Below are 18,779 nucleotides of genomic sequence, written 5' to 3'. Positions count from 1 at the left end.
CAAAATGATTAAATCTAGGATTATTAAATCACTTTCCTCCATTTTGATGCAATGAACTTGCTGGACCATAAAAAGCAGGCTTTGATAAGTAGCCCTCTATTCTAAAATAAAAAAATTCTAAAGCATTTTATCACATATGCTGAAAATTCATCATTTATTTAAAACATTTTCATTGGCTACTTTCTCTTTCAACATTCATAATATTCTATTGGAAAAAAAGTTACCATTTCAGAGGGTTTAAATTCTGTTTTCTTCATCAGAGTTTCACAGCTTAGGTGACAAACTTCAGTTAAGATTTTCTTGAAGAGCCTTGATATTCAATAAATGCTCCTTCTCTTATACTTTCTTACTGCTATCTCCTTCTGACATGCCCAGCACTGCCTTACATTTGCTTCATTCATGAACTGCCATGAAAAATGCAGTTCTGAATTAAATTATCAGGCTACATTCCCTTTCTGGAACTCTCTCCTCCCAACACCCCACAGTCTTCATTTCCTCCCAGCACAGTGATATGTCCATTGATGTTTGGGGCTTGCTCAAGTTTTGCTGAAGTTTTCTGACCTATTTACATGTAACTGGCTGTCAAGCTAAGTAGTGCAAATCCTTTCCCTTTGCAATGACTATTGAATTAGTTCCTTTCTGTGGCATCTGGCTAAAGAGAAGTGCAAAGCAATTTCATTGTTGAGACAGAGAAAACAGGGCAGAGGTCAGATGATTCTGAAAGAAAAGATACCATTTGTCTAAAGATATAAAATTGCTTTTAAACTCTGCTCTCTTCCCCTTCTCTTGTTTTCCCTGTCAATGAAATAAAAAGTGTATAAATTATTTCTGTGCAAGAGACAATGTTAATAACGATGCTCAATTTTACTTTGTAACATATTTCTCTCTGTTCCTTTGTAATACTTCTGGGTTCAGTTATTTGTTCACGTGCTAACTCAGTGCTTGGCACCAAGGAGGATCTAATAACAATCTGTCAGAGTCTCTGATTAACATTAATAAAGTACCAAACAAGGTATCTAATACTAAAAAGAAAAAAAATAAAATTAAGAGTTCATAAAATACTTCCCAAATCCACAGATGAAGGGAGAAAGAGAGGCGCAGGGACCCCCTGTGTGGCCATGTTTTCTTTAATCTCTCTTACCAAATGGCCTTTGGCAACAGGTGAGCTTCTCAGGGGTATCTGAGGCTGAATAAGGGGAGAACATGGGTGTGAGAGGGCGAAAAAAGGGGAAGCAATAATTTTGGAGACAGGATAGCACTTAAAATGTGCATGAGGTAAGTTATGTGTTATATTATTTTAATATATTAAAACATTTAATATCTAATTGATCAGTAGCCTGGGACAAAATTCTGACCCGATTATCTCTTAAAAGAAACTTGATGAACACATTTTCTTCTCATAATTTGATTCTGAGAGAATAAGCCTATGTACAGGAAGCTAAATAAGCCTACATACAGAAGTAAAGTACAATACAGAGATGTCAGGAGGCAGTACGCATCATTGATTAGGGCATTCAATTCTGGACTTCAGAAGGAAGAAAAGTCCATGATGTGGCCTGCAAATCTAGGGCCCTGGCCTCAATAGACACCAGTGAATGACCTCCATCCTCATGGAAGTACCCAACAGAAAATAACTGGAAGTCCTGAAGTGTGGGCGCTTTACGTATACATCCAGATTACTCTCTGTCTCCTGCCCACGCCTGAGGTTTCCTTGGATCCATTGTTTTCTAGAATCCTGAGTCTCCTGAGATGCCCATGGCATCTCTTGCCTAACCATTTCCTCAACAATTAGTAGTTATGCTTAAAATATTTTAAAATACACTTCAGCACAGGAGACTGTCTTAGCTTTGGGGATGAGATCACAATTTCAGGGGCTCTGTAAGCTGTGCAGAGGAAGACAGAAGGACCATAAAAAATATGGATGTTATAGGCTCACATATGTAATCTGAGTTCTGGAAGGGCATATTTGGTCATGTTTACCCTATATGCCCTTTATGCAGCTTGAGGACTGCCTGGATCTGATTCTTTATAATCCTCAGCAGACTTAGGTGGAAACGGAAAAGACAGCTGCCTACACAGTGAAATTCGAAAAGCCTCAAGATGCCCTCCTGCCAGTCTGCTACAGTGCCTGGAAAGCAACAACTATAGTCATTCAGCTGTGTCCTTAAGAGACCTTTCTTAATAAGAAAAGGAGGTGACATGTTTATCCATCACAGCTCTGTCTTAATTAAAGATATTCTGGTTGCAGGTAACAAAAACATCCAATTTATATAAGCTAGTTCATTGGAAAATAATGAAGCTATCTCTCAGAGGAGAATGTGAACAACCAATATGAAGAGATTGGAAAGCCCTATAAAATAAAGTTATCAGAAGGAGAAAACTCTTTTTTATTCTGTCTCTGTTTACCATAAAACCCATTTTCAAGAATACTCAATAACATTATCTGCCACTGTGTTCATTCATAATTCATTTTGATTCATGATCTACACAGCTTTTTATCAGTCTTAATTTTACAATCTGTAAATTGGATATTTAATTCTACTTTTTCTATAAATAGACAACAGAAATAATATTTACAAGTTCCAATGAATAAGATCCTATAAACAATATTTGAGCATTGTACAATTTTATATATTCTATCAACAAGTATTATTGCATACCTACTGTGTATATGGCATCTATTTATAGTAAATTTCTTCATCTCTGAACATTCCTGAATTTTAGTGCTCTCTTTTAGTTAAATTTCAATGTTACCCATTTTACTTTGTAAAATTTTCTATCTTCCTACCATTCTCCACTCTTGCACTCTGATTAAAGATTTTTGGGGGGTGGAATTAAAGAACAGCAGGCAGCCTTCTCTGCAAGGTAATTTACATCTAATTAGAGGAACATTTCTCAAACTATTCTGTGGAAAACTAGTTCCTTGAAATGTTCTATAAACCAAGGAGGTGAAAGACCTGTACACTAAAAGCTATAATGTGTTTAATGAAAGACATTGAAGACGACACTAATAAATGGACAGATAGCTCATGTTCATGAATTAGAAAAAATTAATTTTGCTAAAATGCCAATACAACACAAAATAATCTACAGATTCATTGTAATTCCTATTAGAATTTCAATGTCATTTTTCAGAGAAATAGAAAAACAATCCTAGTATTTATATGGAACCGCAAAAGAAGCAAATTGCCAAGGCAACCATGAGCAAAAAGAACAAAGTTGGAGACATCATATTACATGACTTCAAAATATGCTACAAAGATATAGTAATTAAACCAGCACTGTCAGGCATGTATGGTCATGTAGGTGCATGTACACACGTGTATGGCTAGCTGATTTTTGACAAGGGTACCAAGAATACACAATGAGAAAAGGCCAGTCCGTTCAATAAATCATGCTGGAAAAACTGGATATCCATATGCAGAAGAATAAAATTGGACCTTTACCTCACATCGTGTACAATAATCAACTCAAAATGGATTTAAAACTTAAATGTAAGATCAGAAACTGTAAAACTACTGGAAGAAAACATAGGGGAAAAACTACGTATTGGTCTGGGAAATTATTTTTTGGAATTTGATAGCAAAAGTGCAGGCAACAATAGTAAAAATAGACAAGATTATATCAAGATAAAAAACTTCTGCACAACAAAGGAAACACTCAACAGAGTGAACAGATATATTTGTGAGAAAATATTTGTAAGCTATATTTATCTGATAAGGGGTTAGTATCCAAAACATATAAGGAATTCAACTCTTCTATAAAAAATTTTAATTTAATTTTATGTTAAGTTCTGGGATACACGTGCAGGACCGTGCAAGTTTGTTACATAGGTAAACGTGTGCCATGGTGGTTTGCTGCACCTATCAACCCATCACCTAGGTATTAAGACCCACATGCATTAGGTATTTATCTTTATGCTCTCCCTCCCCACATCCCCCACAACAGGCCCCAGTGTGTGTTGTTCCCCTCCCTATGTCCATGTGTTCTCATTGGAACTGAACTCTTCAGAGGAAGAAAACAAATAACCTGATTTAAAAATGGGTAAAGGACCAGAATAGATCTTACTCAAAAGAAGATATGCAAATGGCTAACAAATATATGAAAAAATGCTCAAAGTCACTAATGATTAGAAAAATGAGAATTAAAACCACAATGATATATCATCTCATACCTGTCAGAATGGCTATTGTTAAAAAGACAAAAGGCAAAGTGTTGGCAAGAATGTGGAGAAAGGGAGCTTTTGCACACTGCTGGTGGGAATGTAAATTAGTATAGCCATTATAGGAAACTGTATGAAGGTTTTTCAAAAAACTAAAAATAGATATACTATATGATCTAGCAACCCCATTTCTGGGTCTTAACCCAAAAGATTTGAGATCAGAGTGTCAAAGAGATGTTTGTACTCTCATGTTCACTGTAGCATTAATCACAACTGTCAAGATATGGAATCAACCTAAATGTCCATCAGCAGATAAATATAAAAAAGTACCATATATACAAAGTGGAATACCATTCAATCTTAAAAAGAAATAAATTCTGTCCTTTGCAAGAACATGGATAAAATTGGAGAACATTATGCTAAGTGAAAAAAACCAGGAACAGAAAGACAAATATGTTCTCACTTATATGTGGTATCTAAAGCAGTAGCACTTAGAGTAAGCAGAAAGCAGAAAGGTGGTTACCAGAGGCGGGCAATGGGGGAGTGGGAGGAGTGGTGGGAATGGGGAAATTATAGCCAAAGGATACACAACTTCAATTAGACAGAAAGAATAAAATTTTTCTTTGAGACATATTATGCAGTGGGGGTGAATGTAGTAAATCATAGTGGATTGCACATTTTTTGTTTTACAAAGGTATATTTCTTTTTTTTTCTTTAAGTTTTGGGACACATTTGCAGAATGTGCAGGTTTGTTACATAAGTATGTATGTGCCATGGTGGTTTGCTGCACCTATCAAGCCATCATCTAGGTTTTAAGCCTCTCATACTTTAGGTATTTGTCCTAATGCTCTCCCTCCTGTTGCCTCCCACCTCTTCCCGACAGGCTTCGGTATGTGATGTTCCCCTCCCTGTGTCTAAGTGTTCTCATTGTTCAACTCTCACTTATGAGTGAGAACATGCAGTGTTTGGTTTTCTGTTCCTGCATTAGTTTGCTGAGAATGATGGCTTTGACCTTCATCCATGTCCCTGCAAAGGACATGAACTCATTTTTTTATGACTGCATAGTATTCCATGGTGTATATGTTAGATTGCACATTCCAGCTGCTGAGAGAGTACTTTTTCTCACGAAAAAAAAAAATTAAGGTAACAAATACGTTAATTAGCTTGATTTAATTATTCCATATTGCATTCATAAACATAATATCACTTTGTACCCCATAAACATATACAACTATATTTTGTTAATTTACAATTTATAAAACAAAGATTGAAATTGCCAAAGCTTTGGAACTCTCCATATTGTACCCTTAAAGTCTATTAACAATTAGCATATGAAAGACTCTGAAAAAAAGCTTCAGTAAATAAATATGACTCACTTTATTTCTCACATATATTTGACCATGAAACCGATTTGCAAGAATATCCAAATTAGCATCTGACACTAGTGTTCTCAGGGATACACATAGGGACACATTAACTTAGATTCATACTTTCTTAGTTTTATGTCCTCTTGGTTATATTGTCGAGGGTCTTGCTATATTACCCAGACTGGTCTTGAACTCCTGGGCTCAAGTGATCCTCTCACCTCAGCACCCCCAAGTAGCTGGGACTTCAGGTGTGCCACCATGCCTGGCCTCCTGATTCTTTACACAGGCCAGATAACTTTTACAAAGCCAACCACAGAAAAGTTTACAAAGGATGTAGTGGATAGTGTGATTGCTGTTCTCTTCTCATCTGAAAAAGGGCAAAACAAGCAGGTCACTTCAAAAGTCACTGAACAAATGCTTAATTGCCTTCTGGAGGTAGTCCACTCCACTTTAAACTATTTTCTTCATAAATTACTTCCTGTAGCTGTTCTAACCTCTTTCCCTAAAAATAATCTATTTTTATTTTTAGGAGTAGGACTGCCAGTGGCCTGAAGATATCAGGAGGTTCTCAAATTATTTTTATTTGTGTGCCATGTATTGAATTGTGTATGTAATAAATACATGCATTGAATCATAATTTATAGTTATATAATGCTTATATGCTATGTCTGTTTTACACATAATTCCTGGAAGTCCAATTTGATCTAAGCAAAAAGGATTGTGATTTAGAGGTTTCATTGAACTAAAGATAATGCAATATCAGAGACAAACTCAAGATGACAGCTAGAGCAAACTCTCTGAATTTGAAACTTTAGCCAAATAGTTAGTTTAGGAAATGAGTGGGTAGTTGCAAACCCCTCCAGAATCCTTACAGCAGCTGCAGCTATAGTTCATATATTTTTTAAAAGGCAGTTATCATCATTTATAACCTAGTTCCACTGTGTATCAGGAGTTGTTGGAAAATCTGAGAACATTTATTTAATTGTACATGTAATTTACCAATCTGTGTGGCAAACCCGGCACATTAATGGAAATAATTCAAATTTCACTGATGTATCGATTCTACTACATGAAGCTGCATCTGTATCTATTTTTGAAATGATTATGTAATAAACCCATGAGATCACATGTGTGTGAGCATGCACATACACATATACACATTAGAATTTGGGATTGGGGGAGGGCAGCTTTTAGTATTGAATATTGTACAAGTGTTGCACATGTATTCACAAATAAACCCACTTCCATTGAACCCTTGCTGCTCCTATAGGAACTGCAATTACTGCCACTGGCCCACAGTGCTCCACAACCTCTCCTCTGACCCAGTATCACCCCTACAGAGCACCAGCTCTGATGTGCTAGAGCTGTCATGCTGCCCACTTTATGTATCTAAGAGGTGGAAGGCAATTCCTTCCTTCACTTTGGGCATAGTCCTTTAAAGTATTTATTGAGCTTGACTATTTTAAGAGATTTTTGTAAAATCACTCTTTTATTTATGATTTTGTGCTTTGAATCACGACTTGCCTTCAACCACTAAAGTGTATAGCATCTATTTATAGGCTGCTTCTTCACTTGGGGTGAGTTCTTCCCCAGAAGGCTCCTCAGTCTTGCAGAAAGTCTTCCCTCGGGCCAATAATTTTCCAAGCATACTTGTTTCCATATGAACTCCTGCAGTTAATGCAGTTTGGGATGTTCTTCAGAAAGTGTTTGAACCCTCATTCAAATGTTTTTTTATTGGACCACCTCATCACATCTCCTGATTTCCCAGCCATGTACTTGGCCTTAGACAAACCCTGGGCTGAAGCTGAGGTCACAAGTGGAAAAAAATGTGATTAAAATGGTGGTATTCTCTATCTATAATCAGATTATTCACCACCATCCAGATCAGGACTATGTACTTAGGGATTTTCCTCTTGCCCAAGCTCATGGTAAAACTCCCTTTAAAACAAACCTCTGCTTCTAGACTAATCACCTGGCTCTGAGCCCTCCTGTATTCACTGGATGTCATTGGTTTCAATTTTCTCTTACCTTCTATTATAATTTTCTGTTTCACCCCATCAGATTGGATAGAAGACTAACTAGATTGGCCTTCTAGGATTTGTTTTGAATTGTTCATTCTGGCTCCACACACCAATCCCCATTGGTACAGGATTCCTACATGTCTCATAGGTGGAAATCAGACGATTGTTACTTACAAAACTAATGGCTGTATTCTCTGTCTCTAAATAATCTGACTACTTTCTTTGTCTTCTCTTCCTCCATTGCTTCATATATGTGGTTGCTTCTTGTGGATTGTCTCTAGCTTTTCTTCTCCACATTCCCTTGAGAATCACTTTCATCCTTAATTCAGCTCTTACTGCCTACAGACTTCAAGACCCTTCAGCTTTAACCATTGCTTTATGTTACCAGACTCAGAAGCTTACTACCAATTAAGTATGTCTAGATGAATGCTTGATGCCCAAACCCAGGCTGTAAAAAAACAACTCTTCACTCGCCTGTCCAAATGGCCGCTCTTTAAGTGTCCTTGCCAACACTCCATTTCCCAGCCTTAAGCCCTCAGGATCACTGCATCTTTTCCTTTAGCCCACCCTACAGAAGTTAGCAGTTTCTAAGACTCACTGATTTTACTTCTATTTCCTTTGTTTTCTATCGTCACTGCTTAAATCCTAGTTCAAACTCTTTTGTCTTAGGGATAGGAATACTCCCTTCTCTGGTCACTCTGCCTCCTGTCTTTCCCACATACAAGCACCTTACGTATTATTCTTGACCAATTTTCCTCAACTGCAGTCATTTTCTTTTGACTATGAAACCAAAACTTTCCTCCTAATATGCTATAATATATACCAACATACTTTTCCAAATTTATTTAGGAATCCATTTAAAGGCTACAGTCCAAATAACTTCTTCCTTTGCCTCACATATGTACCAAAATTTTCAGCCTTGATGGGTTTGCTTATGATGCTCCTCCATATTGGAATGTTATTCCTTCTCCCAGATCATGTTCTCATGTCTCAAAATAATTTTTCCTTCAAGGACCTCCTTAAACATTACCTATCAATGAAATTTCCCATAATGCAATCATTCAGAAATAATTGTTGCTTCAGCTCACCTCCTATAGTACTTTGTAGACATTTCCTTTAAGTATCTATTTTTTTCTATCTTTTATTGTAAATGTAGTTATATATTTTCCCTTCTAGAGGTTAAGTATTTGAAGAAAAATTTCATAAACCTATTTATCTTCATTTCCTTCACAATGCTTAATGAATTATTCAAATTGTCCTATGTGTTAACCAGTAATTTTTTTTTTTTTTTTTTTTTTTTGAGATGGAGTCTCAATCTGTCACCCAGGCTGGAGTGCAGTGGTGCAATCTCGGCTCACGGCAAGCTCTGCCTCCCAGGTTCACGCCATTCTCCTGCCTCAGCCTCCCGAGCAGCTGGGACTACAGGAGCCCACCACCACGCCCGGCTAATTTTTTTGTAGTTTTAGTAGAGACGGGGTTTCATGGTATTAGCCAGGATGGTCTCCATCTCCTGACCTCGTGATCTGCCCGCCTAGGCCTCCCAAAGTGCTGGGATTACAGGCGTGAGCCACCGTGCCCAGCCGTTAACCAGTAATTTTTAATATTTTTAGTAGATTGACATGCTACAGAAAGTGCTGTGGTTCTAAAACTTTACTAATTTAATTAACCTGATTTGCAAGTTTTTGCTATCACAAAGTTTCTGTATGAGGATTGGATTAATCTTGACTCTAAGGATAAAGCCTTGCTTAATGCATTCAATTATCTGAATCTGTTGGATGTGATAAAAGAATGTGTATTGGCCCTGTCAAATTGTCTTATGAATTAAATTACCTTCATGAAGGCCAAATAATAAGATGAACTGAAGAACAGGATTTAGCAAAAAGGAAGCCAGATTCTTCTAATGTACTTATATCATAACCAAGTGAATAAAAGGATAAAGTATCAAATCAAGGGATCCACTGAATGTCCTCATAGGAAGAGCAGGAGTTATAACTTCAGTGATAATTGCTTAGTAGTGGCCCAGCCAGAGAAAAAGTCAGGGAAAAAGAGAAAAAAACGTGCTCTTCCCTTTCAATGAGGGATTTTAATATGCATGATGGGCCAGGCATGGTGGCTCACACCTGTTATCCCAGCACTTTGGGAAGCCGAGATGCAAGGATTGCTTGAGCCCAGGAGTTCAAGAACAGTCTGGGCAATGTAGGAAGACCCCATCTCTACAAAAACTAAAAATAAAAATTAATCAGGTGTACTGTTGTGTGTCTGTAGTCCCAGCTACTTGGGAGGATGAGGCAGTTGGATCGCTTGAGCCCGGGGATGTTGAGGCTGCAGTGAGCTGTGGTGGTGCCACTGTACTCCAGTCTGGACAACAGAGTGAGTCCCCTATCTGAAAAAAAAATACTGAATATCTGTAACCATACCTTTGAGGATGTCAAATTAGAATAAAACAAATTAAGGGGAAATAAAACCTAGCATCTACTTAATGCTTCTGCATGTCAGACACTGTTCTAAATGCTTTGGATGTGTTCCTCATTTAATTCTTACAACTCTGTATACAGGCATCATTATTAGTCCTTTTTTTTTACATTGAAATAAAACTAAGGCATAGGCAACTTAAGCAAGTATTCAAGATAATGTAAGATCACATCTGAAGGAGCTTGGATTTGTTTAAATCCAAGCAGTTGGACTCTAGGGCATACAATTTCAATGATTATACTAACCCTACTTTATTGCTTTACAGATAAAGCTCTCTTACCCAACTTACCAAAGGAGATAATATACAAGAAAATAAGCAATATTTAGTCTTATTCATGTATTGAACATGTATCTACTAAGCACTTACATTGTTCTGTTCTAGACGCTGGGAACACAGTTGAGAGCAAAGCAGAAGCACCGACCTTGATAGAGTCTCCATGAGGGTTTGATACACAGGTAATAAGTAAATGAAATAAAAAGGGATAATACAAGTTTATATAATAGTTCAAAAAATAAACACAGCAAGAAGGTAGAGAACATGCATAGCAATAAGGGGTCCTGTTTCAGATCATTTGCTTTGGAAAGGGATACCTGAATAGGGAGTGATTTGACCAGCATGTGAAAGGAGCATGCTATTTAAAGATGCAGATGAGAGGTGTGTAAACAACTTGTGGTATGTTAGTAAAACATGATAGGGCCAGTGAACCTGAACTGAGTAAGCAAGGGGAAAGTTGTAAGGTGGAGAGGAGCCAGATCATGCCAGGCTTTTGTTTGGTTAAGGCCAAGAAAATGAGTTTGAGTTTTATCCTAAGTAGACGGAAAACCATTAAAAGTTTTGAGCTACAGAAGTGAACTGATCTGCTTCTAATTGCAAAAGGATCACTGTGGCTATAATGTGTAAAATAAGAAATAGAGACTGAAGCATATACGAATAGAAACAGAGAGAGTATTTAGGAAGTTTACTGCAATCTTCTAGTCTAGAGAAGATAGAAAAATAGTGTTGGAAATGATGAGAAACTATCAGATTCTATATACATGTTGAAAATTGAGTCAACAGAATTCACTAATAAATTGATTGTGGAGTTTAAGGGAATTAGGTATTGAATACAACCCCTTGGTTTTTGGATTTGTCAGCTGGATGAATGGCAGTACTCTCTACTAATGGAGAAGACTGGGGGAGAAAAAAATTTTTGTGGGAATGATAAATGAAAATCAAGAGTTCTCTTTTGAACATGTCAAATTTAAAGTCTATATCAGATATCCAAGTGGAGATGCTAAGGAGGTAGTAAACACACACACACACACACACACACACACAGACAGAGAGAGACAAAGAGGTCAGATTGGAAATAATATTTGGAAGTCATCAGCATAAAGATGGTATCTAAAGCCAGGAGTCTGCAGGAGCTCACCTAGTGATTTAATAGAAAAAAAGAGATGAGAAAAGGATTGAAAAGAAGCCAGTGAGTCATGAAGTCAAGTACTTGAAGGGGAGCAACCAACAATAACAACAATAAAAAAATTAATAAATAACTTTCAGTAAGGAGGAGTAACAGATAGTCTAATGAAATGCATTTTATTCATTCCATGTTCATTTGGCAAATACTAAATGAGTGATTTCTATGTAGCAAATCCACTGGTCAAATATATTTGCACAACTCAGTCTTAAAATGACCCCTAGTCAGATCCTAATCCTTGTTTTGCTCATTTATTTCTGGCATCACTTTTTCTCCTTAAATAACTGTATTTTCCCTCTGTTTTTGCTTATCCTAATTTCAGCTCACTTTCAATACTCACTTCACCTGCTACATGATCCCCTGCTGGATAGTTTTTCTAAATACACTTGTCTTATACTCTTTTTGACATAAAAGTTTTTATAGCAATGTAATATGTATCTTTCTGTAGATCTAGTCACTTCAAGTATATTATAAGCCTTTCTGAAAGGCAAGGATCAAACAATAAAATCGTAGTGCTATCTGTATTTTTTTTTCTTTTGGTATTGTTATCATAAGTATTAAATACCCACTTTTTAGACTTGTGAGAGTTTTTTTTATGGTCATCTATTCCAATAATTCCAAGTATAAAGACTGTATTTTACCACGGAGAGCTCCAAACTTAAGCTCCAAACTTAAGTTATCTACCCATATTATGAGCCTTACTAGTTTAAACCAAGCACCTTGTTTCCTTTCTTTTGATTAGGATTACACCACTTGAATGCTTTTATGCTATTTGTCTCATGGTAATTACAAATACTGATTATTAATTAGTTGTCTTTTATTAATACATGAATTATTAGTCTAGAAATATGATATAGACAAAACATTTTAAAAGATAAAACTGACAAAGATAGATAAATAAAGGAATATTGGTTATATGTGACCCACACAGATACTCAGGCCAAACTGGGTTGGGGTGAGAACACCCACAAAAGAAACTCAAAGATAGAAGTGTCCTTGGAATCAAGTTTGAGGAGACATGACAAGAATGGATATTTCCCAGTGGATTCCATGAACACTCTAGCCCTGAAACAGTGAGAAAACCAGAAAAGACCTAAGGGATATGAGAGTATAATTTCAATGAGAGAGGACAAGCTGTGGAATGAATTAGAAAAAGAAACTGAAGTAGGATAGTTCAGGAAATTAAATCCTAGGGCACAGAGAAATTCTCAGAGCAATTCTAGAATGTACACTGTAAAGAATACTACTCTTTTTTGTAAAGAATACTACTTTTTTTCCTCCCTAATAATGAAAAAAATGAGATATAGAAAAAGTAAGAAATTTGCCTGTGTTTCAATCTCAGGTCTTGGTATTTCTAAAGGTTAAGCTTCTAAACACTACTCTATTTCCTTGTGTCCCTTTTTTTGGCAAGTAAATGAGTAAAGATTATACTGTTTGTTCAATCAAGTTATTGTCCAAGAAATTAACTGGAATTCAGCTATTTATTATTTATTTATTTAGGTTAAGCACTTCTCCTACCTATTTCAGTATAAGAAGTATGCACAGTTCTTTCTAAAACTACACTTCTTCATTTTTACTCAAGATTATAACTCTTCCTGACCCCTTCAGAGATAATAATCAGCCAGTTTTCTCCAGATATAAAAGTTATTTATGGGCAGTCTGAGTTTCCATTGACAGAACTCTAAGATATAACTGGTGTTACATATATTTTTAAAATTTCATCTCTGTGATTCAGAACTTTCATACATTTCCTACATATCTCTTTGTAACTTCATTTTGTCCTTCTATAAAGTTATTTTATCTTGAGGACATACAATTATTCATGTATCCTTGACTCTTAAAAACTCTCCACTGAATCCCCTTCCCTGGTATGCAGCTATTCTCCTTTTCATCTTAATCAAAGTTCTGAAAGAATAATTTTGAAAAAGATACCAGCTATTTAGTGAGTATCATAGCCAAGTTTACACTGAGAATTTTATGTCCATTATCTTCTTTAATTCATGCTACAAATTAATTAGGCAAATATATCTTGAAAATGGCTTTCTATTCCCAGCTCTGGTCATTGGTTCATATCAGAGAAAATCTCCCACTGAGAACTGGAGGTTAAAAAATAATTTTTTTATTTTTTTTTTGAGATGGAGTTTTGCTCTTGTCACCCAGGCTGGAGGTGCAATGGCATGATCTCGGTTCATTGCAACCTCTGCTTCCCAGGTTCAAGCGATTCTTCTGCCTCAGCCTCCCCAGTAGCTGGGATTACAGGTGCCTGCCACCATGCCCAGCTAATTTTTTGTATTTTTAGTAGAGACGGGGTTTCACCATGTTGACCAGGCTAGTCTTGAACTCCTGACCTCAGGTGATCCACCTGCCTTGGCCTCCCAAAGTGCTGGGATTACAGTCATGAGCCACCGTGCCCAGCCTAACCTATTGTTTTAAATATTCCTATACAGGTGTAAGCCACTGCACCTGGCCCAATTTTTTTAAAACCTATTTGATGATTGTCTATGTAGAAATTCAAAAGAATCAACAACAACAACAAAAAACTTACTGGAACTAATAAATGATTATAGCAAGGATGCAGGATAGATACAAGGCTAATATACAAAAGTCAACCTCTTTTCTATATATCAGTAATGAACAAGTGGAATTTTTTTTATTATACTTTAAGTTTTAGGGTACATGTACACAACATGCAAGTTAGTTACATATGTATACATGTGCCATGTTGGTGTGCTGCACCCATTAACTCGTTATTTAACATTAGGTATATCTCCTAATGCTATCCCTCCCCCTCCCGCCACCCCACAACAGTCCCCAGAGTGTGATGTTCCCCCTCCTGTGTCCATGTGTTCTCATTGTTCAATTCCCACCTATGAGTGAGAACATGCTGTGTTTGGTTTTTTGTCCTTGTGATAGTTTGCTGAGACTGATCGTTTCCAGCTTCATCCATGTCCCTGCAAAGGACATGAACTCATCATTTTTTATGGCTGCATAGTATTCCATGGTGTATATGTGCCACATTTTCTTAATCCAGTCTATCCTGAACAAGTGGAATTTGAAATTAAAAATACAATACTATTTACATTAGCATCCACAAAAATGAGATACTTAGGTATAAATCTAACAAAATATGTACAAGATTTATATAAGGAAAACTACAAAACTCTGTTAAAAGAAATAAAAAAAAAACTAAATAAATGAAGAAATATTCCACAATCATGGATATGAAGATTCAATACTTTCAAGATTTCAGTTCTTTCCAACTTGATCTGAATGGTAGATTCAGTGAAATTCCAATCAAAACTTTAGCAAATACTTTTGTAGATATAAAAAATCTAATCCTAAAGTTTATATGGAGAGGTAGAAAACCCAGATTAGCCAACACAATATTGAAAGAGAAGAGAAGACCAAAGCTGGAGGACTGACACTACTCAACTTCAAGTCTTTCTAAAAAGCTGCAGTAATCAACACAGCGTGGTATACGTGAAGAAAATAGACAGAGATCAATGGAATAGAAAGCCACTAAACATAGCTAATCAATCTCCAATAAAGGAGCAAAGGGAATAATACAATAGAATAAGGATAGATTTTTTTAACAATGGTGCTGGAACAACTGGGCATCGACATGCAAAAACATAAATCTATGTTTTTATGCTCTTCACAAAAATTAACTCAAAATGGATTACAGACCTAAACATAAAACACAAACTTATAAGCCTCCTAGAAGATAGCATAGGAGAATATATAGGTGACGTTGGGTTTGACAATGACTTTTGAGATATAAAACCAAAGGCATGATCTATGAAAAGAAGAATTGATAATCTGTACTTCATTAAAATTAAAAATTTCTGCTCTGTGAAATACACTGTCCAGAGAATAAAAAGACAAACCAAAGACTGGGAGAAAATATTTACAAAAATTATAACTGATATGAACTGTTATCCAAAATATATCAAGAACACTTAAAATTCAGAAATAAGAAAACAAAAAACTTGAATAAAAAATGGGCCAAATACCTTTGGTAAGGGTAACAGACACCTTACCAAAGAAGCACATAGATGGTAAATAAGCACATGAATAAATATTTTGCATCTTATGTCACCAGGGAAATGGAAATTGAAACAACAATAAGAAGCCACTACACACCGATTAAGATGGCTAAATCCAGAACACTGACACCACCAAATGCTGATGAAGATGTGGAGCAATAAGAACTCTCATTTATTCCTGGTGGAAATGCAAAAATGATGCAGCCACTTTAGTACACAGTTTGGCAGTTTCTTACAAAACTAAATATATTCTTATTATATGATCTGGCAATCATGATCCTTAGTATTTACTCAAAGGGGTTGAAAATTTATGTCCACACAGTAATATGCACATGGATGTTTATAGCAGCTTTCTTCATATTGCCAAAATTTGGAAGCAACAAAGATGTCCTTCAGTGGGTGAATGTGTAAATAAAATGCGGTAAATATAGACAATGGAATATTAATCAGAGCTAAAAGCAAATCAGTTATCAAGCCATGAGAAGATACGGAGAAAACTTAAATGTTATTACTGAGTGAAAAGAAGTCAATATGAAAAGGCTACATCTGTATGATTTAAATCATATGACATTCTGGAAAAGGCAGAACTACTGAGAAAGTAGTGGCTGAGGGTGAGAAAGAGCGAGGTGGTACACAGAGCATTTTAGAGCAGTGAAAATATTTGGTATGATAATCATAGTAGTGGATACATGTCATTTTACATGGTCCAAACCCATAGAATGAATAACACTAAGGATAAACCCTGATGTAAACTATGAACTTTGGATGATAATACTGTGCCATGTAGGTTCACAATGGTAACAAATATGCCACTCTAGTGGGGAATGTTCATAATGGGAGAGGCTATATATGTGAGGGTTTAGGGGCTATGTGAGAAATGTCTGTACTTCCTACTTAATTTTTCTGTGAATCTAAAATTACTCTAAAAACTACAATATTTTAAAATATCCTATTTGATGAAATCAGATAGTTACAAAGGTGTCAAGGACTGGAGAGTATAAAATCTCATAGAGAAAGGATGTCCCAGAAATGTCAGATTTTGAGACATTTGCCAATTCTAGAGCAATGGTTGAGAAGCTGAGAAGTGGAGCAAAGTTTATAGCAGCTTATTGTTTGGGAAAAATATTGAAAATCAGCATCTACCCAGAATAAAAGGCCCTGGTAAACACTCAGGCTTTCTGTCTGTTACCCTTACCAAAGGTATTTGGCCCATTTTTTATTCAAGTTTTTTGTTTTCTTATTTCTGAGTTTTAAGTGTTCTTGATATATTTCAGATAACAATTCATATCAGTTATAACTTTTGTAAATATTTTCTCCCAGTCTGTGGTTTGTCTTTTTATTCTCTGGACAGTGTATTTCACAGAGCAGAAATTTTTAATTTTAATGAGGTATAGATTATCAATTCTTCTTTTCATAGATCATGCCTTTGGTTTTATGTGCCTCAGAATAAGCGAAGTAAACATTAGGCAAGAGAGATAGAGACCGCTTTTAGTATAACTGTGAGTTATCTCACCAGGAAGATATAACAAACCTGTTTTGTATGGACCTAATAACACACCTTCAAATTATATAAGGAACAAATTGACAAAATTAAATAAGAAAATAGATAAATTTATCATCATAATGGTAGTTTTAAAAAATGTTCTGTTAGTAATGTGATTTACATAGAAGATTTGAACACAAATAAACTTGATTTAATTAAGATATAAACATTACTCCCTCTCTCTATATATATCCAAAATCCACAAAATCCACAAATAAGGAGGTTTGACTGTGTGTATGAGCTTACTCACTAATATTTATTTACAACCCTAAAAAACAGAGTACTGTCAAGGTAAAATTTGGGCCACCCAACACATATGTTCCCAATTGAAGTCAAACAAGGGAATGTCCTACCTTCTTGATGAAGGGTTTTATCAGGTTGATCCATATGAATTACTATTTACATAGATTAAAATGTCAAATATCAGCAGTTTCATATGGTTCAACTTAGGCTGGGTGTTTTCAAGCTGTTCAATTTTTTTTTAGTACTTTTGTTTGTTAATTTCCAGTTTATTGGATTTGGTTAGACAATATAGAATATAGTTTCAAATGTATGCTTTTAAGTACATATAAACATATATGAATATTTTTATAAATAATGAGTATATGTTCTATATATATAAACACAGTACTCTGTGTGTGTGTGAACTGTACTTATTTAAATCTTCTATATTACTGGTCTTAAAATGTGATATACTTTACAGATTTTTACCAGGAGACAATTATACTTTTGGCCAGTTGAGTGCTTAAAAAAAAAAAAACTTAAATATCTCTTAAGTAGGGTATTGGGTCTCCATTTCAGTCACAGTCTATACCCCTTCCTATTGTCTTATTACTAAACTAATCCACAAAATTATATTATATGCCAAGATCCTATAGGCATTAGAATTCTCTTCCCTACTCTAGATCTTTTCCCTTGTGAGTTCCACATTTTGTTGCTGTTGTTGGCCTGTTAGATAGTTATTCCATTATTTTTTCAGAAAACTAAAGCAAGTGTTCTGTTTTTCTATTGCTGTACTAAATTTTGTAATTCAAATATAATGTTTCCTTGGTTCCAGAAAGCTCTTTTTGTGCTTTAATTGCACCCTCTTGAAAAGCTGTATTTTTTGTTCAAGCTTTTATCTTTTTCATTTATTTTACCTTAATAGAAACTTCCTGTTCTTATTATTCAATTAAGTCTCTTTCCCTCTTTTTAGTGAGTGTTTTTCAAAATGGATCACTGCTTCTCTTTGCCTTCTTATGAGTTTAAGTTATCTCTACTGCCCTATATGCTAGGACAGCGGTACCCAAACTTTTTGGCACCAGGAGCCAGTTTTATGGAAGACAATTTTTCCACGGACAGCGGGGAGGTGGAGGGATGGTTTCAGGATGATTCAAGCACACTATATTTATCATTATATTCTCATAAGGAGTGCGCAACCTAGACCGCTTGCATAAGTGGTTCATAATACAGTTCGGGCTCCTATGAGAATCTAATGACCCCACTCATCTAACAGGAAGCTGAGCTCAGCTTCACTCGTCGGTCACTCACTTCCTGCTGTGTAGCCTGGTTCCCAACTGGTCACTGACCAGTACCTGTTGGCTAATGCCTAAGATAACCCCACATCCTAGCATAGGGCTAGGATGTGGGGGTATTTTAGTCACTGGCAAAACTGCAGGAACTGGAAGATAGGAGTCATTTCCTTATGAGACAATGTATAGAGTCAGCTGAA

The 18,779-nt window shown here is 35.8% G+C and overlaps 1 long non-coding RNA gene across 1 annotated transcript in view; it reads left to right on the top strand.

The window, feature by feature from the left end:
- Nucleotides 1-18,779, top strand: part of LOC107986606 (uncharacterized) — a 179,493-nt gene that overhangs the window by 135,750 nt on the left and 24,964 nt on the right. The window contains exon 2 of the long non-coding RNA XR_001744176.3: nucleotides 10,405-10,478. This is a non-coding gene — a long non-coding RNA (uncharacterized LOC107986606). The remainder of the gene's footprint in view (nucleotides 1-10,404; nucleotides 10,479-18,779) is intronic.

This window comes from Homo sapiens, chromosome 6 (assembly GCF_000001405.40).
Source record: "Homo sapiens chromosome 6, GRCh38.p14 Primary Assembly".
In the NCBI taxonomy this organism is placed as follows: Eukaryota; Metazoa; Chordata; class Mammalia; order Primates; family Hominidae; genus Homo; species Homo sapiens.
The sequence above is the reverse complement of the archived record's forward strand: the minus strand, read 5'-3'. Positions and strand labels throughout refer to the sequence as shown.